Source organism: Homo sapiens, chromosome 7 (assembly GCF_000001405.40).
Source record: "Homo sapiens chromosome 7, GRCh38.p14 Primary Assembly".
Classification (NCBI taxonomy): domain Eukaryota; kingdom Metazoa; phylum Chordata; class Mammalia; order Primates; family Hominidae; genus Homo; species Homo sapiens.
In genome coordinates, this window is record NC_000007.14 from 44,776,069 (window position 1) to 44,803,833 (window position 27,765).

At 48.5% G+C, this 27,765-nt stretch overlaps 1 protein-coding gene and 1 long non-coding RNA gene across 5 annotated transcripts, besides 5 other annotated features; one reads left to right on the plus strand and one right to left on the minus strand.

The window, feature by feature from the left end:
• Positions 10,742-11,246: an enhancer, noted in NCBI's record as "H3K4me1 hESC enhancer chr7:44826409-44826913 (GRCh37/hg19 assembly coordinates)". NCBI's record gives its function as "activates a minimal SCP1, AML or CMV promoter by ChIP-STARR-seq in naive H9 embryonic stem cells {active_cell/tissue: H9 hESC(naive)}" and the evidence as "EXISTENCE:reporter gene assay evidence [ECO:0000049][PMID:30033119]".
• Positions 11,247-11,750: an enhancer, noted in NCBI's record as "H3K4me1 hESC enhancer chr7:44826914-44827417 (GRCh37/hg19 assembly coordinates)". NCBI's record gives its function as "activates a minimal SCP1, AML or CMV promoter by ChIP-STARR-seq in naive H9 embryonic stem cells {active_cell/tissue: H9 hESC(naive)}" and the evidence as "EXISTENCE:reporter gene assay evidence [ECO:0000049][PMID:30033119]".
• LOC105375259 (uncharacterized) lies at positions 19,048-20,462 on the minus strand. Its single transcript, XR_007060300.1, has 2 exons — positions 20,000-20,462; positions 19,048-19,356 (listed from the first exon to the last, which is right to left on the minus strand). It is a non-coding gene; the product is annotated as an uncharacterized LOC105375259 (long non-coding RNA).
• Positions 20,154-20,353: a silencer, noted in NCBI's record as "silent region_18152". NCBI's record gives its function as "represses an Ori minimal core promoter by ATAC-STARR-seq in GM12878 lymphoblastoid cells {active_cell/tissue: GM12878}" and the evidence as "EXISTENCE:reporter gene assay evidence [ECO:0000049][PMID:35858748]".
• Positions 20,444-20,713: a silencer, noted in NCBI's record as "silent region_18153". NCBI's record gives its function as "represses an Ori minimal core promoter by ATAC-STARR-seq in GM12878 lymphoblastoid cells {active_cell/tissue: GM12878}" and the evidence as "EXISTENCE:reporter gene assay evidence [ECO:0000049][PMID:35858748]".
• Positions 20,613-27,049, plus strand: PPIA (peptidylprolyl isomerase A). Of its 4 annotated transcripts, none has more exons than NM_001300981.2 (6): positions 20,613-20,725; positions 22,680-22,836; positions 23,179-23,209; positions 23,324-23,412; positions 23,634-23,806; positions 25,219-27,049. In NM_001300981.2, exons 4-6 carry the CDS (start codon positions 23,404-23,406, stop codon positions 25,352-25,354), a joined length of 318 nt encoding a protein of 105 aa, NP_001287910.1. In that variant the 5' UTR covers positions 20,613-20,725; positions 22,680-22,836; positions 23,179-23,209; positions 23,324-23,403; the 3' UTR covers positions 25,355-27,049. The 4 variants fall into 4 exon arrangements, with proteins under 4 accessions (NP_001287910.1, NP_066953.1, XP_047276492.1 ...); XM_047420536.1 differs by lacking the exon at positions 20,613-20,725 and adding an exon at positions 21,051-21,553; XM_047420537.1 differs by lacking the exon at positions 20,613-20,725 and adding an exon at positions 21,051-21,553 and having other exon boundaries at positions 22,680-22,746.
• Positions 20,734-21,083: a silencer, noted in NCBI's record as "silent region_18154". NCBI's record gives its function as "represses an Ori minimal core promoter by ATAC-STARR-seq in GM12878 lymphoblastoid cells {active_cell/tissue: GM12878}" and the evidence as "EXISTENCE:reporter gene assay evidence [ECO:0000049][PMID:35858748]".

Sequence of the window (27,765 nt, forward strand, 5' to 3'; positions counted from 1 at the left end):
CCCCTCTGAGCTGCTTTTCCTTCCTGCTGCTGGAATGTGGATGTGCCGCTCAGCACTGACCTCCAAGTAGACACCAAATGCTGGGAGTGTTGGAGGGAAAAGACAAGGGCCTGGGTTCCAGTGCTTGTGCAGCCATAACGCTGGCCTGGGCTGAGACTGAAGGAAGAGAAATAGGTGTCTGCACTGTTTGAGCCTGTGTTGTTGGGGTTTTCTGCCTCAAAGCCAAACCTCATCCTGATGGAAGCCGCACAGGATCACAGAGCCTTGGAGGTGAAGCAGAAGGATTCTTAGGGCTCCTCGCTCCTGGTCCCTAAGTCAACCTGCTCTTCCAGTTTCTCTTTGCAGAGAGATCTGGATCACGGCCTGCTCTTTTGTGTTTTCCCTTGGCATTTTTCCCAACTGTCCCCACAAAAGCCCAAAGTGAGAACAGAAAGACCATCCTCATCAGCAGTGGAGTTAGCCAGGATGCCCAGGCCATCACCTCATAATGAAGTGTCACATTCAACCTTCAGTTGCTTGCAACCTGCAGGGAAATGCTGCTTCTGTATAGTAAATACACACTTATGGTAAAAACGAACAAACCAAAAATCAAATAAAAATTTAAAATAGGCCAGGCAAGGTGGCTCACGCCTTTAATCCCAGCACTTAGGAGGCTGAGGCAGGAGGATTGCTTGAACCCAGGAAGTGAAAACATAGTGAGACCTCATCTCTATAACAACAACAACAAAACAAATGGGCTGGGCGTGGTGGCTCACACCTGTAATCCCAGCACTTTGGGAGGCTGAGGCAGGCAGATTACCTGAGGTTGGGAGTTCAAGACCAGCCTGGCCAACATGGTGAAACCCCGTCTCTACTAAAAATACAAAAATTAGCCGGGCGTGGTGGCACACGCCTGCAATCCCAGCTACTCGGGAGACTGAGGCAGGAGAATTACTTAAGCCTGGGAGATGGAGATTGCTATGAGCCAAGATTATGCCACTGTACTCTAGCCTGGCCAACAGAGCAAGACTCTGTCTCAAAAAAAAAAAAATTAAAACTTAGCTAGCTGTGTGCGGTGGCTCATGTCTGTTATCCCAGTACTTTGGGAGGCCGAGGCAGGCAGATCATGAGGTCAAGAGATCGAGACCATCCTGACCAACATGGTGAAACTCCATCTCCACTAAAAATACAAAAATTAGCTGGGCATGGTGGCGCATGCCTATAGTCCCAGCTACTCGGGAGGCTGAGGCAGAAGAATCACTTGAATCCGGGAGGCGGAGTTTGCAGTGAGCCGAGATCACGCCACTGCACTCCAGCCTGGCAACAGGGCGAAACTCTGTCTCAAAAAAAAAAAAAAAAATAGCCAGGCATGGTGGGCACACACCTGTAGTCCCAGCTCAGGAGGCTGAGGCAGGAGAATCCTTTGAGCCCAGGAGGTCGAGGCTGCAGTGAGCCGTGTTTGCACCACTATACTCTGGCAACAAAGCAAGACCCTGTCTCTCACACACACAAAAATTAAATAAATATATAAATAGATAAAACAGCAGCACAACAGGAAATCATTGCTGGTGGGAATGCAAAATGGTATAGCCACTTTGGAAGACAGTTTGGCAGTTTCTTTTTCTTTTCTTTTTTTTTGAGTGCAAAAAAACAGCATGGGAGTGCAATGGCGCAATCTCAGCTCACCGCAACCTCTGCCTCCCAGGTTCAAGCAATTCTCCTGCCTCAGCCTCCTGAGTAGCTGGGATTATAGGCATGCGCCACCACACCCAGCTAATTTTGTATTCTTAGTAGCAACGCGGTTTCTCCATGTTGGTCAGGCTGGTCTCCAACTCCTGACCTCAGGTGATCTGTCTGCCTCGGCCTCCCAAAGTGCTGGGATTACAGGAGTGAGCCACCGTGCCTGGCTGGCAGTTTCTTATAAAACTAAGCATATAATCCAGCAATCACGCTCCTTATATTTACCCAAATGAGTTTAAAACTTATGTTCACACAAAAACCTGTATGCAGTTGTTTATAGCAGATTTATTCATAATTGCCAAAACTTGGAACAACCAAGATGCCCTTCAGTAGGTGAATGGATAAATAAACTCTGGTACCTCCAGACGATGGAGTATTATTCAGCACCATAAAGAAATGAGCTACCAAGCTGTGAAAAGACATGGAGGAGGAATGTTAAATGCATTTTACTAAGTGGAAGAAGCCTATCTGAACAGGCTACATACTGTGTGATTCCAACTCTATGCATACTGGAAAAGGCAAAACTTTGGAGACAGTAAAAAGATCAGCAGTTGCCAGGGGTTAGTGGGGAGGGAGGGAGGGATAGGTGGAACACAGAGGATATTTAGGGCAGTGAAGCCACTCTGAATGATATTATAATGGTAAAATTACACATACAAGATTCAAAAGTGCTCTAGAAAATAAAGACAGTTTTGGCCGGGCATGGTGGCTCAAGCCTGTAATCCCGGCACTCTGGAAGGCCGAAGCAGGCGGATCACCTGAGGTCAGAAGTTCAAGACCAGTCGGGCCATGGTGAAACCCCGTCTCTACTAGAAATACAAACAACTAGCCAGGCATGGTGGTGTGTGCCTGTAATCCCAGCTACTCGGGAAGCTGAGGCAGGAGAATCACTTGAACCCGGGAGGCGGAGGTTGCGGTGAGCTGAGATCACGCCATTGCGCTCCAGCCTGAGCAACAAGAGCAAAACTCCGTCTCAAAAAAAAAAGACAGTTTTTAAAATTAGCATCTGTATTAGTCAGGGTTCTCTAGAGGGACAGAACTAGTAGGATAGATGTATATATGAAAGGCAGTTTATTAAGGAGTATTGACTCACATGATCACAAGGTGAAGTCCCACAATAGGCCATCTGCAAGCTGAGGAGCAAAGAAGACAGTCCGAGTCTCAAAACTCAAAAGTATGTAACCTGACAGTGCAGCCTTCAGTCTGTGGCCTAAGGCCTGAGAGCCCCTGACAAACCACTGGTATAAGTCCAAGAGTCCAAAAGCCAAAGATGTTTGAGGGCAGGAAACATCCAGCATGGGAGAAAGATGAAGGAGGGAAGACTCAGCAAGTCTGCTCTTCCCACCTTCTTCTGCCTGCTTTATTCTAGCCACACTGGCAGCTGATTACATGGTACCCATGCAGATTGAGGGTGGGTCTGCCTCTCCCAGTCCACTGACTCAAATATTAATCTCCTTTGGCAACACCCTCACAGACACACCCAGGAATAATTGCATCCTTCCATCCAATCAAGTTGGCACTCAACATTAACCATCGCAGCATCTTACATATTATTTGTAAATACCAAATAACATCCATAATTATTTTTATTGATTAAAAACAAAAAAAAAACAAAAAAAGGCCGGGCACAGTGGCTCACGCCTGTAATCCCAGCATTTTGGGAGGCCGAGGCGGGTGGATCGCCTGAGGTCAGGAGTTTGAGACCAGCCTGGCCAACATGGAGAAACCCCATCTCTACTAAAAATACAAAAATTAGTCGGGTGTGGCGGCTCACACATGTAATCCCAGCTACTTGGGAGGCTGAGGCAGTAGAATTACTTGAACCTGGGAGGCAGAGGTTGCAGTGAGCCAAGATTGTGCCACTGCACTCCAACCTGAGTGACAGAACGAGACTGTCTCAAAAACAGGCCAGGCGCAGAGGCTCACACCTGTAACCCTAGCACTTTGGGAGGCTGAGGCAGGCGGATCACGAGGTCAGGAGATGGAGACCATCCTGGCTAACACGGTGAAACCCTATCTCTACTAAAAAAATACAAAAAAAAAAAAAATTAGCCAGGCGTGGTGGTGGGCGCCTGTAGTCCCAGCTACTCTGGAGGCTGAGGCAGGAGAATGGCGTGAACCCAGGAGGCGGAGCTTGCAGTGAGCCAAGATCGCGCCACTGCACTCCAGCCTGGGCGACAGAGCGAGACTCCATCTCAAACAAGCAAACAAACAAACAAACAAAGAAACCAAAAAGCATATATGTAAGTCTAGAAAGACATTTGCCATATGTAAGTCTTCTTCTGCCTGGACCCCTGTCCACATAGACACCTCCAGTATGAGAGGACTGGGGCTCGGCCTTCCCATAACAGCAGCTATGGCAGGCTTGTGGCCTGGGCTCAGGTGTAGTGAGGTGGGGATGCTGCAGGTGCAGGCCAGTCGGGTGGTGAATGGGGCTGTAGGATGTCCGGAACAGGGGACCTCATCCATCCCACACTGATCACCAGGATAATGCCACCAATTCCTTCTGTGTATGTTCCCTTAGTTCCTGCCCATTTTCTAAGCGTGAGTCTCCTGGCTTCCCACTGTATTTGTGAGTTATGAGAGAGAGCCTTCCAACAAATTCCTTTTTGGTCTAATTTAGCTAGAGTTGATTTCTGTTGATTACAACCAAAATTTTTTATTGGTACAGAACCCTGCATCTTTTTTTATTTTTATTTATGTATTTATTTATTTTTGAGATGGAATCTCACTCTGTCCCTCAGGCTGAAGTGCAGCGGCATCATCTCGGCTTACTGCAACCTCCGCCTCCCAGGTTCAAGCCATTCTCCTGCCTCAGCCTCCCGAGTAGATGGGATTACAGGTATGTGCCACCATGCCCAGCTAATTTTTGCATTTTTAGTAGAGACAGGGTTTCACCATGTTGGCCAGGCTGGTCTCAAACTCCTGACCTCAGATGATCTGCCCATCTCGGCCTCCCAAAGTGCTGGGATTACAGGCATGAGCCACTGTACCCAGCCCCTACATCTTTTAAAAGGACACATGGATTCCAATTCTGGTCATGACAGAGTGACTGATTGGAAACTTGCCCTCCTGTCAACACTGGACTTTGGAAACAACAGCTTTCAGCCACTAGTCAGCCGGAGCTGTGGTCTCTGGGAGAGGCAAGGGCTTGGGGCAGGCCCCACATTCCCTCTGGCCTCAGTCAAGCACAGTGCTGAGAGGTGGAACCCAGACAGCGGGGACCTCATGGGGCCAAGGAAAGGCTGTGGCCAGGACTCCCAGACAGTTGGGACTTGGGGGACAGGGTCCCAGAGCCAAGAGGGCTGCAGAGAAGCACCACTAGCCCTGGGTGGTGGTTCCTCTTGGGTCTTCAGCTGCACCTCAGGTTGCACGTGTGTGGGATGCAGGCCCAACTTCAGACAGGCGATTCTGGCAGTCACATAGGACTCTCTCTCAGAAGGGCTGGGCTCAGGTTAAGCTCTGCCATTGCTGTTGTGAAATTCTTCATAACACTTGAACAAGTGAGGTCTTGGGAGAGGTGCCACAGCCCTGGGGAGAAGTGCCATTGCACCAGGGTGAGGTGGCACAGCCCAGGCAGCCCCAGAGAGATGTGGCACAGCACCAGGAGAGGTTGGCACACCAACCCAGCCAGGGAAAAGGCCTTTGAACACTTTGGAGTGAGGACCACATCCAGCAATCTCAGGAGAAACGGGGTCTCTTTCCCAATATTTTCAGCACAAGTCCTGAGAAGTTTCACCTAGTCAAGATTTGGGGTTTGTGCCCATCCTGAACCGAACACCAAAGTTTTTACAGGCCAAAGCCAAGTGACTGCTCCATTCTGGAGCTGGAAATGAGGTCAGCTCCACCCAGACCACATACACCGGGCACGGGGTTCTCTAAAGGGAATTAAGGTATTGTTAGCAAAAACAGAGAGCAGTGCTGCCGATCTGTCAGAAGGCATAGGCATCCATCCATGTGATCACTGACTCTTCATTGTTATTTCCTGTGTTTAGATGCCTTGTGTTTTGTTGTTGTTGTTGTTGTTGTTTGAGACGAAGCCTCGCTCTTGTCCCCCATGGGGCAATCTCGGCTCACTGCAACCTCCGCCTCCCAGGTTCAAGCAATTCTCCTGCCTCAGCCTCCCGAGTAGCTGGGACTACAGGTGCATGCCACCACACCCGGCTAATTTTTTGTATTTTTTGGAGAGCCGGGGTTTTGCTGTGTTAGCCAGGATGGTCTCGATCTCCTGACCTCGTGATCCGCCTGCCTTGGCCTCCCAAAGTGCTGGGAGATGTGAGCCACCACACCTGGCACCCTGTGTTTTTTTACACACCCCTACCCTGAGTCTCAGAGCAGGATTGGCACTTCAGAGAGGGGCGCCCCCTCTCTCAGCCTGCCGGCACCAGGCTTTGGAGGAAGCAGGAAGGTGTACCCAGGCTCATACATATCCACTGAATGAACAGAGGTTTGAAATGTGAAAACAAATTGTACAGCAGGACACCCCTTCCCTCCCAGCCTGACCAGGCCACTCACACTGACTGTCTCGGAGGGATGCTTTCTGGTTAACTGGCTGGAGTAGGGTTATTTCCCCTAATCACTGTTTTGTTGTGGGATGGGGTTTGGGGGATTCATCTATGGCATCCCTGCTGTGAGTCTCCATTGGCAGTTGGATAGGACTAAGGAGGGAAGGGACCCATGGAGATTTCCACTGCAATCAGAAGAGAGAGACCTTTTAGGGAATGGGGAACCTCAGGTTTCGCTTTACCCCAAGTCAGAGAAGAGTTACATTCAGCACCTCTGGGAGAGGTGTGAGCCATGGCCCAGTGTGTTCTCCCAGCCAAGAATCAATGATGATTCAGCTGAGGGCCTTGCTGGACAGGGCTGATGGTAGCTGGGAGACCAACACAATGAGCCCAGCCCAAGGTAAGGAAAGGAAAGGGAGACATTTGTTGAGTTTGAATCTTGTCTCAGGAACTTGTCTTGAGCTCCAGTGAAACAGCAGGTAACATAGAACTTTGCCTGTCAAACACCAATAAATGAATCAAATGAAGCAGTGAGGGCAGATGGCAGAGGGGTCCAAGCAGGGAGAGCAACTGCTAGAGGCCAGGAGGCAACTGCTACCGCTTTGCAGCCCCAGCCTTTCGGGAATAGCCAGGCCTGAAGGACACCCCCAAGAGCCAGGGCGCCTCTCTGGAATTCCAAGTAAGGCTTAGACAGGGTTCTTGGTTCTGAATCGGGTCTCACCAGATGATATGCTGGCCCAACTTGTCCCAACCACCCAGAAACACACTCATAACCCGTGGTGAACATTTGTGGCTCCAGGGGGATATCAGCTCTGCTTTATCTTTTTTTCTTTTCTTTTTTTTTTTTTTTTTTTGAGACGGAGTCTTGCTCTGTCGCCCAGGCTGGAGCACAGTGGTGTGATCTTTGCTCACTGCAACCTCTGCCTCCTGTGTTCAAGCGATTCTCCTGCCTCAGCCTCCTGAGTAGCTGGGACTACAGGCACAGGCCACCATGCCCGGCTAATTTTTTTTTTTTTGTATTTTTAGCAGAGACAGGGCTTCATCATGTTAGCCAGGATGGTCTTCATCTCCTGACCTTGTGATCTGACTGCCTCCGCTTCCCAAAGTGCTTTAATCACAGGTGTGAGCCACTGTGCCCAGCCATATCAGCTCTGCTTTTCTAAGGATCATGCCCATTGTAGATCAGTGAGTATCCTCATAGAGGCAGTGCCTTCTCACTGCATCCACACATGGCAAACAGGCAAACAGGCTCCCCCCTTTTCATGCATGTTGTACACTCTTTGCACTGCATCCTGTTAAACATTTCTCATGGCCAATGTCTCTCTGAGAATGTAGGCCATCTCTGGATCTGCTTCTATTGACTGTTGCCTCTCTGAATGATGGATCACATTATCTTGTTTTTTGGGGTGTCTGGATTAGGGTTCTCCAGACAAAGAGAATATATAGGGATCTATAGGGTGAGCTAGCAAGCTGGAGACCCAGGAGAGCAGAAGGCATGAGTTCCAGTCCAAAGGCCAGCAAGCTGAAGACATGGGGAGGACAAATGTTTCAGTTTCAATCTGAAGGCAGGAAAGAGTTGATGACCCAGTTTGAAGGCAGCCAGGCTGAAGAATTTGTCATTAAATGCTAGACCTTGTGTGTAAAAGAATATCAGAGGCCAGGCGTGGTGGCTCACACCTGTAATCCCAGCACTTTGGGAGGCAGAGGCAGGCAGATCACGTGAGGTCAGGAGTTCAAGACCAGCCTGGCCAATATGGTGAACCCCTGTCTCTACTAAAAAATACAAAACTTAGCCGGGTGTGGTGGCAAACACCTGTAGTCCCAGCTACTTGAGAGACTGAGGCAGAAGAATTGCTTAATCCTGGGAGGCCAAGGTTGCAGTGAGCCGAGATTATACCACTGCACTCTAGCTTGGGCAGCACAGTGAGACTCCATCTCAAAAAAAAAAAAAAGGAATAGCAGAGACTGAAGTAAATAGCAGTTCTGCTTGGAGAATTGCATACACCTTCCTCTGGCAGGCTGTTAGTGTTGGGGTCAAGCCCATCTAGTCTTCAGGGAGCTGGGTCTGGACTTTGCTGTGGAATTCAGTTCACCAAAGGCTTCACATTATTTGAGGGCAGACACCTTCCTTTATTGGTTTGGCATCTCCGTGTTTGCAGGGTTTGTTGCAGTCAGCCCTGTGCACCTGCACCCTAGCAGGGTAGCCTGCTGCTGCTCTCCCTTCCCTCTCCAATGAGAGATGGCTGCTGCCTGGCAATCAGTGCAACCCCTGGGAACACCTGTGGTGTTTCTCACACTGCTCCTTGCTTGCAGAATGTACTCACCCTGACAGGCCTCAGTTCTCTTGTCACAGCCCCCATGGTGGCCAGTGTAGGACATGTCCAGCAAGTTCCCACTAGAACTCTGGCTCTGCCCCCAGGTCTCACTCATGCCCCTCCCCAGGGGCACTCTCAGGCTCTCACTGCAAGGCCCCTTGTGTTAGGAGGGCTCCTCTCAGCACTCCTTCTCCACCTTCAGACTCCAGCATCTGTACCTCACGTAGGCTTCTTCGGTCTCTGGACTGGCCTCCACTCTCCCCCTTGAGCAGTGGGCGATGGCTCTTGGGAAAGAGTGGGTGAGTGGGTACAAACTCTCTTGCATCTGGTGCACCTAGAGGTTGACTGCAGTGGCAAGGCCAACGTCCTGGGTGTGAGTGTGCAGCTGCACAGACCCCATGCTCAGAAGGGCTTCGTGTTTGGTTTAATGCTTTGCTGTTACAGTCTTGAAATTCAATTCTTGTTAATTTTTGGATGAGGAGCCCCACATTTCATTTTGCTCTGGCCCTGGGCAGAGGGTTCATCTTCAGCTGCCGCTGTTTTCCCTCCTGCTTCATCCTCACCTCCTGCAATTCTGCCTTTGGCATCAGAAGCCAAGATGATCACCTCAGGGACCAAAATCACCCCAGGAACCTGGAGAACTGGGCCTTGTGGGAAATGTTGACCTTACATTTGGTGGTAGGACCCAAACCCATACCAGAGCTAAATTTGAGTTATTGCGCAGTTGAATACAGGACATGGCCAAATGAACACAAACTGTGCACTCAAAAAAAATCAGGAGAGTCCGAGTGTGGTGACTCATGCCTGTAATCACAGCACTTTGGGAGGCTGAGGCGGGTGGATTGCTTGAGCCCAGGAGTTTGAGACAAGCCAGGGCAACATGGTGAAACCCTGTCTCTACTAAAAATGCAAAAATTAGCTGGGCATAGTGGCACACACCTGTAGTCCAACCTACTTGGGAGGCTGAGGCAGGAGGATCACTTGAGCCTGGGAGGTGGAGGCTGCAGTGAGCCAAGATTGTGCCACTGCACTCCAACCTGGGCGACAGAGTAAGACTCTGTCTCAGAAAAAAAGAATAACAATAGTAAAAATAAATATTTAGGCTGAGCGCGGTGGCTCACGCCTGTAATCCCAGCACTTTGGGAGGCTGAAGTGGGTGGATCACCTGACGTCAGGAGTTCGAGACCAGCCTGGTCAATGGTTTTTTTTTTTTTTTTGAGACGGAGTCTCGCTCTGTCGCCCAGGCTGGAGTGCAGTGGCGCTATCTCGGCTCACTGCAAACTCTGCCTCCCGGGTTCACGCCATTCTCCTGCTCAGCCTCCCGAGTAGCTGGGACTACAGGCACCCGCCACCACGCCTGGCTAATTTTTTGTATTTTTAGTAAAGATAGGGTTTCACCGTGTTAGCCAGGATGGTCTCGATCTCCTGACCTTGTGATCCACCCGCCTCGGCCTCCCAAAGTGCTGGGATTACAGGCGTGAGCCACCACACCTGGCCTGGCCAACGGTTTTCAACATGGTAAAACCCTGTCTTTACTAAAAATACAAAAATTAGCTGGGTGTGGTGGCATGTGCCTGTAATCCCAGCTACTTGGGAGGCTGAAGCAGGAGAATTGCTTGAACCCAGGAGGCGGAGGTTGCAGTGAGCCAAGATCACACCACTGCACTCCAGCCTGGGCAACAGAACGAGACTCTGTCTCAAAAATAAATAAATAAATAAGGTCGGGTGCGGTGGCTCATACCTGTAATCTCAGCACTTTGGGAGGCCGAGGCAGGCGGATCACCTGAGGTTGGGAGTTCGAGAACAGGCTGGCCAACGTGGAGAAACCCTGTCTCTACTAAAAATACAAAATTAGTTGGGCATAGTGGCGCATGCCTATAATCCCTGCTACTCAGGAGGCTGAGGAAGGAGAATCGCTTGAACCCGGGAGGCGGAGGTTGCAGTGAGCCAAGATCGTGCCATTGCATTCCAGCTTGGACAACAACAGTGAAATTCCGTCTCAAAAAATAAGAATATAAATAAAAAAATAAATAAATATTCAAAGGACTGCTGTGAGAATTTAACAATGACCAACCATTAGGGCCAGGTGCAGTGGCTCACACCTGTAATCCCAGCACTTTGGGAGGCTGAGGTGGGTGGATCACCTGTGGTCAGGAGTTTGAGACCAGCTTGGCCAACGTGGCGAAACCCTGTCTCTATTAGAAGTACAAAAAATTAGCTGGGCATGGTGGCGGGCACCTGTAATTCCTGCTACTCGGAAGGCTGAGGCAGCAGAATCACTTGAACCTGGGAGGCAGAGGTTGCAGTGAGCAGAGATCGTGCCATTGCACTCCAGCCTTGGCAACAAGAGGGAGACACCGTCTCAAAAAACAAAACAAAACTAAATAAAAAAACCCAATGACCATTAATAACAGCAACTAACACTTTCTAGGATTCTGTGTTTACTAACTGAAGACTTATTTCTGGGGTTTTTTGTTTTTGATATTGTGGCCCTTCCTGTTAGGGAAATTCCCCACCTTCTGAGCTCAAGTGGAAGGCAAAGTCTGAAGACCTTAGACACCGAGGCCTGAAGGCACAGGCGGAGATTAAGGGCTCAACCCAGCAGGTGCATCCTCCCCGCCCCCAACTTCAACTTTAGCATCGCCCCAGAGGGGTGCTTCAGGGCTGGGTCCACTGAAGAGTTGGTAGAGTCCTCCTCAGGCCCATGCTGGGCTCTGTTTGTGCCAGCTCCCCAGGTGCCCAAGGACTCTCCAGTCACTCCCTTCCCTCCTGAGTGAGGTCATAAGTGCATCAGACATCCACCCATTGTCTACACAACAGGCTTCTCTCTTGCCTTCTTCCTTACTATCAGGACCTTGAGTGGTGTGGGCAGCCACAGGCCCAATCAAAATACAGTTGACCCTTAGCCGGGCATGCTGGCTGCACCTGTAGTCTCAGCTACTCAGGAGGCTCAGGCAGGATTGCTTGAGCCCAGCAGCTCAAGGCTATAATGTACTACGATTGTGTCTGTGAATAGCCACTGTACTCCAGCCTAGGCAACATAGCAAGACCCTATCTCTAAAAAGAAAAATACAGTTGACCTTTGAACAACATGGACGTTAGGGATGCTGATACTCTTTACAGTCAAAAATCCACATATAACCTTTGACTCCTCAAAAAGCCTATTTAGGCCAGGTGCGGTGGCTCACACCTGTAATCCCAACACTTTGGGAGGCTGAGGGCAGATCACTTGAGGTCAAGAGTTTGAGATCAGCCTGGCCAACATGGTGAAACACCATGTCGTTCAAGGTCAACTGTAGTTATCTTCCTGAATGCTTATAGCCAAGAGTGGAAGCTGCCGAGTGGGGCTCCTGGGAAACTTTTGAAACAGGACAGATGGTGGTGGCTCCTCCCTCAACTTTTGCCCTTCTTCCTTCTTTCCTGGTTTTCCTGTCCAATCCCAGGCACCTGTTGTTGCAGTTTTGTGTCCTGTGGCTTTCCTATGTAGAAAGACTATTCAGGGGTTATTATATGTTAACAACTGATATTTAATTCATTAAAGCTACAATTTTAATTAAAGCAATTTTTTTTTGTAGAGATGGGAGGGGTCTCACTATGTTGCCCAGACTGGTCTCAAACTCCTGGGCTCAAGCAGTCCTCCCACCTTGGCTTCCCAAAGTGCGAGGTTATGGGTGTGAGCCACTGTGCCCAGCCTAAACTACAATTTTGTTTTTTATTATTTTATTTTAAAAACATCAGGTTAGTAAAAAATAAACTATAATTTTAAAACCTACTTCTTTCCTGGGTTTTAAGTTTACCTTAGAAATAATATTAGTCTCTTTATAAGTATAGCAAATTTGAACTCTTTGAACATATTTGCAAACTTTTTTTTTTTTTTTTTTTTTGAGACGGAGTCTCTCTCCGTCTCCTTGCTCAGGCTGGAGTGCAGTGGCACGATCTTGGCTCACTCCAACCTCTGTCTCCCAGGTTCAAATGATTCTCCTGCCTCAGCCTTCTCAGTAGCTGGGATTACAGGCGCCCGTCACCATGGCTGGCTAATTTTTGTATTTTTAGTAGAGATGGGGTTTCTCCATGTTGGTCAAGCTGGTCTTGAACTCCTGACCTCAGGTGATCCACCTCCCTCGGCCTCCCAAAGTGCTAGGATTACAGGTGTGAGCCACTGCGCCCAGGCATCTTCTAACATCTTAAACTACATTTAACAATGTAATAAATTTGATTTCCAATTAAAGTATGTAATTGTCCAAATTAACAAAGAAAACCTCCCTGACTATTAAATAACTCTAATAAACTTTTAAATATGTTGAACTTAAAGTTATCTTAAATATTAAAATGCAGGCCAGGCACGGTGGCTCATGTGTAATCCCAGCACCTTGGGAGGCTGAGGTGGGCGGATCACGTGAGGTTGGGAGTTCGAGACCAGCCTCACCAACTGGAGAAACCCCGTCTCTACTAAAAAATACAAAATTAGCTGGGCGTGGTGGCGCATGCCTGTAATCCCAGCTACTGGGGAGGCTGAGGCAGGAGAATCGCTTGAACCCGGAAGGCGGAGGTTGCTGTGAGCTGAGATCGCGCCATTGCACCCCAGCCTGGGCAACAAGAGCGAAACTCTGTCTCGAAAATAAATAAATAGGCTGGGTGTGGTGGCTCATGCCTGTAATCCCAGCACTTTGGGAGACCGAGGCAGGCGGATCACGAGGTCAGGAGATCGAGACCATCCTGGCTAACACAGTGAAACCCCGTCTCTACTAAAAATACAAAAAATTAGCCAGGCAAGGTGGCGGGCGCCTGTAGTCCCAGCTACTCGGGAGGCTGAGGCAGGAGAATGGCGTGAACCCCGGGGGCGGAGCCTGCAGTGAGCCGAGATCGTGCCACTGCACTCCAGTCTGGGCGACAGCGAGACTCTGTCTCAAAAAAAACACAAAAAAACAAAAAAAAAAAAAACAAAAAATTAGCCAGGCGTGGTGGCGGGCGCCTGTGGTCCCAGCTACTCGGGAGGCTGAGGCAGGAGAATGGCGTGAACCCAGGAGGCAGAGCTTGCAGTGAGCTGAGATTGTGCCACTGCACTCCAGCCTGGGCGACAGAGCGAGACTCCGTCTCAAAAAAAAAAAAAATGCAATAAGTTTTGTGATATTTCAATTAAAAATCACAAGTCTCAGTCAACTTTTGCCCACATATGCGCTTACTGGGCGGGAACAGGGAGTTGCTAAATAGAGCACAGGTTTCTTTTGGAGTGAAAGAAAATTTCTATTACTAGATTGTGATGTTTGCGCAATTCTGAATTTACTAAAAATTATTAAATTGTATGCTTAAAACAAGTGAATTTGAGGGTGTGTAAACAACACCTCAACAAAGCTGTTGAAAATGGATACATAAACCAAAGTGAGAAAAAAACTACTATATGTTTTAATTAAAATTAAATAACTATCCCTTTTTAAATGGAACTATAGGTTGTTGCTGTAAAAAAACAAATTCACTTAAGTATTACAACTCCTGAACGCATGCCTGAGGTATGCAACACACCTGCCTATGTGTGTGACAGCTAGACTCTGGCCTGGCTGTGGACAGTGTCCTTTTGGCTGCCCCGGGTGCCTGCCATAGAAAGACCTCTATGCTTGAGGACAGCACAGACCTGTTTTCCTTCCACTCACTGTTCTTTCTCCATGCCCTCCCTGGGTGGAATGTGCGGGTCTCTTTTGCTTCTTCTTCTAAACGCTTTTATATTTGATGAAATCCTCATTTATATTAATATAAATGTCTTTTCTGGGCCAGGTGCTGCGACTCACACCTGTAATCTCAACAGTTTGGGAAGCCGAGGCAAGAAGATTACTTGAGCCCGGGAGTTTGAGACCAGCCTGACAACATAGCAAATAAAATTCTTTTTAAAAAATTAACTGGTGTAGTGGTACATGCCTGTGGTCCTGGCTGCTCAGGAGGCTGAGGTGGGAGGATCAACACTGCACTCCAGCCTGGGCAACAGGGTAAGACCCTGTTTCAAAAAGAAAAAAAATAAAGATTAATGTCTCTGACCATTTCTGTGCTTGACAGGCATTTAGGAATCTTTCATATACTTCAGGGCCTGCATAACTCTTAGGGCTAATAATGTGATACCTATTTGAATTTGTTATTCCACATTGCTTTTCTGACTTCTGATCACCACTTAGTAGGTCCATTCTACTAAGAGCACCTTTGAGTTGCTCTTTGCCTCTGGATTTTTTATTGTATGAGACAAATAAACTCCTGTCTAAGCCAGTATTGATGAAGTTTTCTACTGCTTGCTAGAAAACTTGGTTGGTTTTTTTTCTTTGTTTGTTTGTTTTGAGAAAGTTCTGCTATGTTGCCCAGGCTGGAGTGCAGTGGCTCGATCTTGGCTCACTGCAACCTCAACCTTCCAGGTTTAAGAGATTCTCGTGCCTCAACCTCCCGAGTAGCTGGGAATACAGGTGCACACCACCACCCAGCTAATTTTTGTATTCTTAGTAGAGATGGAGTTTCACCATGTTGGCCAGGCTGGTCTTGAACTCCTGACCTCAGGTGATCCGACTGCCTTGGCCTCCCAAAGTGCTGGGATTACAGGTGTGAGCCACTGTGCCTGACTGAGAACTTGGTTTAGAATCATCTGAGAATTTGAGTCATGGGAAAGGATGAGGTTCATCTTGGAGGGTATGTAAGGAAACAAAACAAGATCAAATGCTTAATTCTGACAGAGGAGAAATTTGTGAAAAAGCTAAAGGGGAAATGGTAAAGGAAACATGAGAGAAAAGTCAAAGCCATCAAGGAAAGGAAGCTTTCCAATCAAGGAGGTGATGAAACCTGTCTGATGCAGGCAGTGTCAGACCTGCAAAAAGCACCTGGGTTTGTGGGCTGAGAGGTCACTGATGGTCTCAGCAGAAGCGGTTTCCATTCAGCCTGGAGAGCAGAGGCACCAAGCTAGGCCTTGGGCAAGAGGCACAGAGAAGACAAGTTACTACCCAAAGTCGTCTGTTTTCATAATTTTGAATACCCTAATTTTTTCCCTGGTTACCTTCTCTCTTGCTCAGGCACATTTTTGAGATAAGCATTTGTTTATAAGATGCTATATGATCAGGAGCTACAGTTGAGTTTCAGAGTTCTGCTTGCTGGCATGGAACACCTCCATCTAGCCAGAACAGGGCACTGTTGAGTTCAGCTGGATTTGCTTTTGGTCTGATTCATCCAAATAAGGCATGGACAGCTCCACATTCCTGAGGTTCTGTGTCTGCTGATATTTTCCACAGTTAGACAGTCCCACTCAACAGATAATGTCAGAAAAGGAACCCCCAGAATATCAGCTCCCCACTTAACAAACAAAACATGAACATTTGTATTCTTGAGTGTACATACCCCATGCCTGTGTAGATGAAATGACAAGAACTAGGACTTTGCTGTGACAATGCTGACGGTGACAAAAAGGCAGGACTTCAAATAGTAGCGAGAGGGAGGACAAGTCACAAGGATGTATTCATTTATTTGTTTTGAGACGAAGTCTCAGTCTGTCACCCACGCTGGAGTGCAGTGGCTCGATCTTGGCTCACTACAACCTCCACCTCCCAGGTTCAAGCGATTCCCCTGCCTTAGCCTCCTGAGCAGCTGGGACTACAGGAGCCCACCACCATACCAGGCTAATATTTGTATTTTTAGTAGAGACGGGGTTTCGCCATGTTGGCCAGGCTGGTCTTGAACTCCTGACCTCAAGTGATCCACCTGCCTCGGCCTCCCAAAGTTCTGGGATTACAGGTATGAGCCACTGTACCCAGCCGGATGTATTTATTTTTATTTTTATTTTTATTTTTGAGACAGGGTCTTGCTCTGTTACCCAGGCTGGAGTGTAGTGGCACCATCATGGCTCACTGCAGCCTCAACCTCCTGGGCTCAAGTGATCCTCCCATCTCAGCCTCCCGAGTAGCTGGGACTATAGGTATGCACCACCGTGCTTGGCTAATTTTTATTTTTAAAAATGTTTTGACCGGGCACAGTGGTTCATGCCTGTAATCCCAGCACTTTGGGAGGCTGAGGCAGGCGGATCACCTGAGGTCAGGAGTTCGAGACCAGCCTGACCAACATGATGAATCCCATCTCTACTAAAAATATAAAATTAGCTGGGCATGGTGGTGCATGCCTGTAATCCCAGCTACTTGGGAGGCTGAGGCAGGAGAATTGCTTGAAGCCAGGACGTGGAGGTTGCAGTGAGCCAAGATCACGCCATTCATTGACCTCCAGCCTGGGCTTCAAGAGTAAAACTCACTCTGTCTCAAAAAATAAATAAATAAATAAATAAATAAATAAATAAAAATAAAATAGGCCGGGCATGGTGGCTCACACCTGTAATCCCAGCACTTTGGGAGGCCGAAGTGGGTGGATCACCTGAGGTTGGGAGCTTAAGACCAGCCTGACCAACACGAGAAACCCCATCTCTACTAAAAATACAAAATTAGCCGGGAGTGATGGCGCATGCCTGTAATCCCAGCTACTTGTAAGGCTGAGGCAGGAGAATTGCTTGAACCCAGGAGGCGGAGGTTGCAGTGAGCCGAGATCAAGCCATTGCACTCCGTCAAGAGCGAAACTCTGTCTCAAACAAATAAAAATAAAAAATAAAAGAAAATACATATTTTTTTGTAGAAGCAGGGTTTCCCTCTGTTGCCCAGGCTGGTGTTGAACTCCTGGGCTCAACCGATCCTCCTGCCTTGGCCTCCCAAAGCACTGGCATTACAGGCGTGAGCCACCACGCCCAGCCTATTTATTATTCATTCATGCATTCATTTACTTTTTTTTTTTTGAGATGGAATCTCACCCCATCCCCCAGACTGGAGTGCAGTGGTGTGATCTCAGCTCACTGCAACCTCCGTCTCCCAAGCTTAAGTGATTCTCCTGCCTCAGCTTCCTGAGTAGCTGGGATTACAGATGCGCACCACCATGCCCGGCTAACTTTTGTATTTTTAGTAGAGACGGGGTTTCACCATATTTGTCAGGCTGGTCTTGAACTCCTGACCTCATGATCCACTCACCTCAGTCTCCCAAAGTGCTGGGATTACAGGCGTGAGCCACTGTGCCCAGCCCTAATTTTTGTACTTTTTAGTAGAGATGGGTTTTCCCTGTGTTGGCCAGGCTAGTCTTGAACTCCTGGCCTCAAGTGACCCACTTACCTCGGCCTCCCGAAGTGCTGCAATTACAGTGTGAGCCACCATGCCCAGCCCTGCCCAGTTAATTTTTGTATTTTTAGTAGAGATAGGGTTTCACTATGTTGTCCAAGCTGGTCTTGAACTCCTGACCTCAAATTATCCACCCGCCTCTGCCTCCCAAAGTGCTAGGATTACAGGCATGAGCCACCTCACCCGGCCTCATTCATTTACTTCTTTGGAGGAGTTCCTAACTGCTCTACGTTTTAGGATGGAGAGAGAAATGGTAAGAATTTATGCCTGAAGGCCTTGGGCATTTTTTTTCAGTGTCAGATGAGGACAAGTGGCTTTCTTAAGATCACAAAGCAAGAAGTGATGTGGAGTGGGGGGGAAAAAAGCAGTTTCCAGTTTGGCTTTGCTAACACTCATAAGCGATTACTCTGAACAAGAAGCCAGAGCTTTACTTTACGCATCTGTAAAATGGGGATAATGGGATGGTGATGAGAACAAAACAACATAGTCTAAATTTCCAACACAGGCTGAGCATGGCGGTTCACCTGTAATGCTAGAACTTTGGGAGGCCAAGGTGGGAGAATCCTTTAAGCCCTGGAGTTTGAGACCAGCCCTGATAACACAGCCAGAACCAGTTTCTGTTAAAAAAATTTAAATTAGCTGGCACAGTGGCTTGTGCCTTTAGTCCCAGACATTTGGGAGGTTGAGGAGGGAGGAATGCTTCAGTCCAAGAGTTCGAGGTTACAGTGAGCTAGGATTGCACCACTGCACTCCAGACTAACCAACAGAGTGAGACCCTATCTCAAATAAATAAATTCCTAACACGTTGGCTCATGGTTATTAACAATGGCAAGAGGCCAGAAACTGTACTTCATCTATCAGATGAATTATCATTTTTGTCTCACCACAACCCTATCCTGGTTGTGCAGATGAAGAAACTGAGTTTTAGAAACATTAAACAACGTCCAGGTGCAGCAGCTCACGCCTATAATCCCAGCACTTTTGGGAGGCTGAGGCGGGTGGATCGCTTGAGTCCAGGAGTTTGAGACCAGCCTGGGCGATGTGGCGAAACCCCATCTTTACAAAACACACACACACAAAATGAGCTGGGTGTGGGTGCATGCCTGTAGTCCCAGCTACTTGGGAGGCTAAGGTGGGACGCTTGCTCGAGCACGGGAAGGGGAGGTTGCAGTGAGCCGATAACACACCACTGCACTTCCAGCCTAGGTGAGAGTGAGACCTTGTCTCAAAAAAACAAAAAGAAACATTAAATAATATCCTTAATATTGCAACTTAAGTGACAGCCCAGGATATATGAATTCCCTTGTAAGGTTTTCTTAACAAAACACCAGTCACATAAGTGCATTTTATTTTATATTTTTGTTTATTTATTTGAGACGGAGTCTCTGTCTCTCAGGCTGGAGTGCAGTGGCGCCATCTCTGCTCGCTGCAACCTCCACCTCCTGGGTTCCAGCGATTCTCCTGCCTCAGCCTCCCGAGGGGGTAGCTGGGACTACAGGTGCGCACCACCATGCCCAGCTAATTTTGTATTTTTCGTAGAGATGGGGTTTCACCATGTTGTCCAGGCTGGTCTTGAACTCCTGACCTCAGGTGATCCTCCCGCCTCGGCCTCCCAAAGTGCTGGAATTACAGGCGTGATCCACCGCACCCGGCCTATTTTTTGAGAGAGGGTCACACTCTGTCGTCCCGGCTGGAATGCAGTGATGCGATCACCGCCCACTACAGCCTCGACCTCCGGGCTCAAGCAATCCTCCCCGCCCAGCCTCCTGAGTAGCGAGCGCCTCGACGCCCAGCTAATTTTTATTTTTATTTATTTTTTTGTAGAGACGGCGTCTCTCTAAGATGCCCAGGCTGGTGGCCGGTGTCGAACTCCTAAGATGAAGCGATCCTCCCCGGCCTTGGCCTCCGCGCCTCCTAAAGCGCCAGGTATGAGCCACCGCGCCTGGCCTACAAGTGCATTTTAATTAAAGTATTATTAATGTCTTTGCCTGAAGAAATTCGCTTTTAAATTGTGACTTATCTTTCACCCAAAAATCAAAGCACAATTCAGCCCCGAGGCGGGGGCGGTAGGAGCTGGGCGGGGCGGGGGCAGGGAAAGACCAGGAGCAGAGATTCAAAAAGAGTAAGAGGGCAAAATGTGCATAATGCATCTTCACAGGTAAGAGCCTGGCCAGGCTCCTGTTTTAATGGCTTCCTCCTGAAGAAGATTCAAGCAGAGTGTAAGATATTTTCGGAAAGTAGAGCATTTTGAAAGCATTTCATAATCTCTCAAAACCGGAGACTGCTCCTGTCCCACCTCGTTAGAGAAAACAGCGATGCTCAAAGGCAACCTCCTTCCTGACATTGCCTGGTAGGACGCGACGTGGTGTTTGCCCGCGCGGAATGCGGACGCAAGGCTGCTCCTAGGTCTCGGGGACGCGCCATCCCCATTTCCGCTCGCGGAGGCGTAGGGTCCGGGCGCGGGACCCCAGTCGACCTTGACTGGCGGCGCGACCTTGAGGCCTGCGTTCGCCTCAGTTGCCCCCTCTGTGCAATGGGGAGACGCGCCTCATCGCTTGACAACGGCCGAAGAGCCGCCGCGCTTCCGTCTCCCGCGTGCGCGCGCCATGCTGCCCACCCCCGTTCCGCACTGACCCTCCCCCGTGCCCCGCGTCCCGTACTGCCGCCCCGCCCCGAGTCCCATGCCGCAGCCACCGCGACGGAGCCCGCAGGCGGGAACCTGCCTCCGCGCGTTAGCGCGCACGCGCGCCTCATGTGTCGTCCCCATCAGCGCCGGCTTCCGTCTATAGGCCAGATGCACTGTCACTCTGGCGAAGTCGCAGACCCGATTGGCCGGGACGGAGGCGCGAGACCGGGTTGCGGGCGGGGCCGAACGTGGTATAAAAGGGGCGGGAGGCCAGGCTCGTGCCGTTTTGCAGACGCCACCGCCGAGGAAAACCGTGTACTATTAGCCATGGTCAACCCCACCGTGTTCTTCGACATTGCCGTCGACGGCGAGCCCTTGGGCCGCGTCTCCTTTGAGGTCGGGCGGGCGGCGGCGTGCGGGAATGGGGCCCAGAAAGTGGGCCGGGGTCGGGGTGGGTGGTAGCGCCCCAAAGGCCCGGGCGCGGGGCGACCCTGCTTGAGGGGCGAGCGCGGGCGGGCTGCGGCGCCATTTCCTGACGAGGGGCCATTTTGGGAGGTCCGCGAGTCGCGGGGAGGAGGCCGGGACGGCGGCGGACAAAGGCAGGCGGGGCGGCTGCGAGGCCGTTGGGGGAGGGGGCCCGCGTCCGCCCGCCCGCCTCATGTGGCCGCGCCCTGTCCTGTCCGACGCACGTGCTCGGCGGCCGCGCTCAGGTCCGCGCCTTGAGAGTCGTTGGGCTCCGCCCTAGCTTGGCCTGGGCGCCGCAGACCGGAGCCAGAAGCACGCTCGCGGGGGCTTGCGACCGCCTTCCTGGGAAGCTGTCCCCTGGCAGGCATGGGTGCTTTACATCCTGAGCTGGGAAGCTGTTTGCTTGAGGGTTTTTCTCAAGGATCGAGGCGCGGTGTGAGCCCGTCCATGCTCGGTCCTGTAGATCCCGGGAGGCCATGTTATAAAAGGAGACTTGCTGGGATGTGACGGGTTGCCACTTGAAATATCTTCCATTTGGATAAAGTAGGAATATTTATACATGTGCCCCAAACGTCCCTCCGTGTCCCCCACCCCCAAGCGGAAATGTGAAAATGGGCCTTGCCTTTGCTGGTGCCCAAGGACCGCCTTCCACTGCAGTGACGGCGCTGGCGGGGGAGGCGCTCTTGAGCCCCTCCCGATTGTCCCTCTGCCTAGCAAGCAAGTTGCGACTGGCCACAAGGCAGGCCTCTTCCGACCAAGGTGGATTACCAGTGATTACCTAATTAGTTTTGAGAGCGTTAAATGAGTTCTTAAAGATCAGTTGTAATTATAGCATAGTATCTAAACTTGGCGCGTGTCTTCAAAGTTAAATATTGAGTACGATTCCGTTCCAGTTAACATGGATAGACCTTAGGGAGTAGCGAAATAGGATGTTAGTGGTTTTATTCCTTTAAATCACATCTCAAAAGGCCACCAATGGCTAGTTTGGGATCTTATTCCGAAAATAGATTGATCCTCATGCAGTCTTCGTGAGGACAGAGCGATTTCCTTGTTGCCTACCCTGTCCATAGTGCCTGGCACATAGGCACTGAAACACTGCATGTTAATCCACACCCCACCCCACCTATGAGTGTAGTCAAAGCTGGTAAGTGACAAGGGCTTTCGTGGAAACTTGGCCTGACCTAATGTTGGGCATCAGGTTACCCAAAGAGCTTCAGGGAAATGAGAAAGGACTTGCAGGTCTTGATGAGAATGGAGGGGTAACTGCCAATGAGGGCTTTGGCTTTAGCGAAAGTCTGAAAGGGAAGCCATAGGAACTTAAACGTACCGACTATAAAGCTCTGAGAAAAGCTGATGTTTTAGAAAGACCATACATTCTAGGTACAAATACCTAAAAACTAAAAAATAAGTACGTTGGCCAGGCGGGCGGATCACGAAGTCAGGAGATTGAGACCGTCCTGGCCAACATGGTGAAACCCCACCTCTATTAAAAATACAAAAATTAGCTGGGCGTGGTGGCGCTTGCCTGTAATCTCAGCTACTCTAGAGGCTGAGGCAGGAGAATCGCTTGAACCCCGGAGGCGGAGGCTGCAGTGAGCCGAGATCGTGCCACTGCACTCCAGCCTGGTGACAGTGAGACTCTTGTCTCAAAAAAAAAAAAGTACATTGCTATAAGAGAAGTGCACACGGATACTAGTAGTTAATTCAGTCACATCTGTGAAATAGCTTATAAAATGCTACTTTTAAACAAGCTGTTTTTATGAAAGGGCTTGTAAATGTTTATGGTATTTAAGCTACCTCTCTAGCCATAACGTATTATACATTCAAGAAAGGTTCAAAACCAGATATACTAGAAACCAATCTTTATTTTTTACCCCACTACTAGGTAAGGGGCCTGGATACCAAGAAGTGACTGCTCATCTAATCCATAAAGCTATGTTAACAGATTGGAGGTAGTAGCATTTTCATTACAAGTGACTAAAAGAACAGCTGTTTACCCCTGATCGTGCAGCAGTGCTTGCTGTTCCTTAGAATTTTGCCTTGTAAGTTCTAGCTCAAGTTGGGGGGTGGTGATAGACATTTAAGAAGCCATATATCTTTTCAGAAGTAGGTGTGATGTACTAAAAGTTTGAGACACTTTCTAGAAGTCTCACTATTTAAGTTATGACTAGTATTGGATTTTTGGCATGTCTTTGGGTTTCATGTTTCTTAACCCAACTGCCTGCAGGGCCTTATGGCTGTCAGGAGCAGTTCTTGGGAATTAAAGTAATTACTGAAGAAGTATTCTAGTGAGAAAATGAATTTATGACTCAGAAGCCCCTAAAGACATGGGTACTAAGCAACAAAATAAGCAGATGTTAATTAACTGTAATTTTCTCTTACAGCTGTTTGCAGACAAGGTCCCAAAGACAGCAGGTTGGTCCATTTTCTAAGTTTAACAAAGATGTTCCAATTGTGACAGTTTGTGTGTGTGTGTGTATATATATATTTTTATGTATGTATATATGTGTTTAATTTTTTTTTAAACAGAAAATTTTCGTGCTCTGAGCACTGGAGAGAAAGGATTTGGTTATAAGGGTTCCTGCTTTCACAGAATTATTCCAGGGTTTATGTGTCAGGTACGAAATTTACTGAATTTTATTTTATTTGGGTTGCTCCCTTCATTTGGGATTGAGCCAGAATATTTCAGGATACACATATCTGAACTGTTACTCTACCATTTCGGTTCTATTTAACCCTTCTATTCAGTTTGAACTTGGGTTTAAAGTTTGAACCTTGCAGATTTGGCACACTTCATGGTTATGTTGTCAGAAGTGACATTTTTCCTATATGTTGACAGGGTGGTGACTTCACACGCCATAATGGCACTGGTGGCAAGTCCATCTATGGGGAGAAATTTGAAGATGAGAACTTCATCCTAAAGCATACGGGTCCTGGCATCTTGTCCATGGCAAATGCTGGACCCAACACAAATGGTTCCCAGTTTTTCATCTGCACTGCCAAGACTGAGTGGTAAGGGTACAACATGGCACACTAACCACCTGACTAAATGAAAAGTTGCCCTGGGGGGAACGGAACAAACACTACTTTTCTTCAACCTTTGCTTCCACAGACTTTTTCATCCCTAAGATACTAGAAGAAGAGCATACATAAACGACAAATATAGCCAATGTGATACAGAATGTCAGATACTATGATAGAAACTTGGCCCTTAGCTGGGTGGTTGAATTAGGTGCTACTTTTTTGAGATGGAGTTTTGCTCTGTTGCCAGGTTGGAGTGCAGTGGCACAATCTGGGCTCACTGCAACCTCTGCCTCCTGGGTTCAAGCGATTCTCCTGCCTTGGCCTCCTGAGTAGCTGAGAATACAGATGTGTGCCAGCATGCCTGGCTAATTTTTTGTATTTTTGTGGAGACGGGGTTTCATCATGTTGGCCAAGCTGGTCTTGAACTCGTGACTTAAGGTGAACCACCTGCCTTGGCCCCCCAAAGTGCTGGGATTTCAGGCATGAGCCACTGCGCCCAACCAATTAAGTGCTTTTTTTTTTTTTTTCTTTTCTCAGACTGGATCTCGCTCTTATCTCCCAGGTTGGAGTGCAGTGGTGCCATCTCAGCTCACTGCAACCTCCTCCCGGGTTCAAGCAATTCTTCTGCCTCAGCCTCTCAAGTAGCTGGAACTACAGGCATGCACCACCACTCCCAGCTAAATTGTGTATTATTAGTAGAGCGGGATTTACCATGTTGTCCAGGCTGGTCTCGAACTCCTGGGCTCAAGTGATCTGCCTGCCTTGACCCCCCCAAAGTGCTGGGATTACAGGCATGAGCCACTGTGCCCACCCAATTAAGTGCTGCTTTTATGTTACTATTAATAACATGCGGTTGGTTGGGTTTTTTGTTTCTTTGGGGTTTTTGTTTTGTTTTGTTTGTTTTTGGGGGAGGGGGGCGCAATTCATTCTATATGTGTAACTCTTTTTTGAGATGGAGTTTCGCTCTGTCGCCCAGGCTGGAGTGCAGTGGCGCGATCTCGGCTCACTGCAAGCTCCGCCTCCCAGGTTCACGCCATTCTCCTGCCTCAGCCTCCCGAGTAGCTGGGACTATAGGCACACGCCACCATGCCCGGCTAATTTTTTGTATTTTTAGTAGAGACAGGGTTTCACCGTGTTAGCCAGGATGGTCTCGATCTCCTGACCTCGTGATCCGCCCGCCTTGGCCTCCCAAAGTGCTGGGATTACAGGCGTGAGCCACCGCACCCGGCCTATATGTGTAACTCTTTAATGGTAATTGGAGAATCATGTTTAATGACATTTAGTACAAAAGGCTTCAGTTAAAAAAAAAAAAAAAAGCTACCTTTCTCGTCTTGGTTCATGACACATGGAGGCTGCTTGTTTGTGGTTGCCAGTCATAGTGATTGTTCTTCCTTTTCAAGGTTGGATGGCAAGCATGTGGTGTTTGGCAAAGTGAAAGAAGGCATGAATATTGTGGAGGCCATGGAGCGCTTTGGGTCCAGGAATGGCAAGACCAGCAAGAAGATCACCATTGCTGACTGTGGACAACTCGAATAAGTTTGACTTGTGTTTTATCTTAACCACCAGATCATTCCTTCTGTAGCTCAGGAGAGCACCCCTCCACCCCATTTGCTCGCAGTATCCTAGAATCTTTGTGCTCTCGCTGCAGTTCCCTTTGGGTTCCATGTTTTCCTTGTTCCCTCCCATGCCTAGCTGGATTGCAGAGTTAAGTTTATGATTATGAAATAAAAACTAAATAACAATTGTCCTCGTTTGAGTTAAGAGTGTTGATGTAGGCTTTATTTTAAGCAGTAATGGGTTACTTCTGAAACATCACTTGTTTGCTTAATTCTACACAGTACTTAGATTTTTTTTACTTTCCAGTCCCAGGAAGTGTCAATGTTTGTTGAGTGGAATATTGAAAATGTAGGCAGCAACTGGGCATGGTGGCTCACTGTCTGTAATGTATTACCTGAGGCAGAAGACCACCTGAGGGTAGGAGTCAAGATCAGCCTGGGCAACATAGTGAGACGCTGTCTCTACAAAAAATAATTAGCCTGGCCTGGTGGTGCATGCCTAGTCCTAGCTGATCTGGAGGCTGACGTGGGAGGATTGCTTGAGCCTAGAGTGAGCTATTATCATGCCACTGTACAGCCTGGGTGTTCACAGATCTTGTGTCTCAAAGGTAGGCAGAGGCAGGAAAAGCAAGGAGCCAGAATTAAGAGGTTGGGTCAGTCTGCAGTGAGTTCATGCATTTAGAGGTGTTCTTCAAGATGACTAATGTCAAAAATTGAGACATCTGTTGCGGTTTTTTTTTTTTTTTTTTCCCCTGGAATGCAGTGGCGTGATCTCAGCTCACTGCAGCCTCCGCCTCCTGGGTTCAAGTGATTCTAGTGCCTCAGCCTCCTGAGTAGCTGGGATAATGGGCGTGTGCCACCATGCCCAGCTAATTTTTGTATTTTTAGTATAGATGGGGTTTCATCATTTTGACCAGGCTGGTCTCAAACTCTTGACCTCAGCTGATGCGCCTGCCTTGGCCTCCCAAACTGCTGAGATTACAGATGTGAGCCACCGCACCCTACCTCATTTTCTGTAACAAAGCTAAGCTTGAACACTGTTGATGTTCTTGAGGGAAGCATATTGGGCTTTAGGCTGTAGGTCAAGTTTATACATCTTAATTATGGTGGAATTCCTATGTAGAGTCTAAAAAGCCAGGTACTTGGTGCTACAGTCAGTCTCCCTGCAGAGGGTTAAGGCGCAGACTACCTGCAGTGAGGAGGTACTGCTTGTAGCATATAGAGCCTCTCCCTAGCTTTGGTTATGGAGGCTTTGAGGTTTTGCAAACCTGACCAATTTAAGCCATAAGATCTGGTCAAAGGGATACCCTTCCCACTAAGGACTTGGTTTCTCAGGAAATTATATGTACAGTGCTTGCTGGCAGTTAGATGTCAGGACAATCTAAGCTGAGAAAACCCCTTCTCTGCCCACCTTAACAGACCTCTAGGGTTCTTAACCCAGCAATCAAGTTTGCCTATCCTAGAGGTGGCGGATTTGATCATTTGGTGTGTTGGGCAATTTTTGTTTTACTGTCTGGTTCCTTCTGCGTGAATTACCACCACCACCACTTGTGCATCTCAGTCTTGTGTGTTGTCTGGTTACGTATTCCCTGGGTGATACCATTCAATGTCTTAATGTACTTGTGGCTCAGACCTGAGTGCAAGGTGGAAATAAACATCAAACATCTTTTCATTATCCCTAGTATTTCTTATTCCATTAATTAACAGAATAGCCTCACCACGTTGTCATTAACTGCTTTTATTCATCCAAGTATTTAACTTTTTTTTTCTTTTTTATTTGAGACAGTTTGGCTCTTGTTGCCCAGGCTGGAGTGCAATGGCACTATCTCCACTCACTGCATCCTCTGCCTCCCAGGTTCAAACGATTCTCCTGTCTCAGCTTCCAGAGTAGCTGGGATTACAGGTGTATGCCACCACACCCAGCTAATTTTTTGTATTTTTAGTAGAGTAGGGGTTTACCATGTTCATGGCCAGGCTGGTCTCAAACAGACCTCAGGTAATCCGCCCGCCTTGGGCTCCCAAAGTGCTAGGATTTCAGGCGTGAGCCACCGCGTCCAGCCCCATTCCTTTTTTTTTTTTTTTTTTAATTTCTCCAGTGCCCAGCGTGATCCCTGACATCTGGTATTAGAGTTCAATACTTGGGCCGGGCCTCGGTAATCCCAGCACTTCGGGAGGCCAAGGCAGGCAGATTACCTGAGGTCAGTAGTTTGAGACCAGCCTGGCCAACGTAGAGAAACTCCATCTATTAAATATGCAAAAATTACATGGTCATGGTGGTGCATTTCTGTAATCCCAGCTATTTGGGAGGCTGAGGCAGGAGAACTGCTTGAAACCAGAAAGCACAATGAGCCAAGATCGTGCCACTGCACTCCAGCCTGGGAGACAGAATAT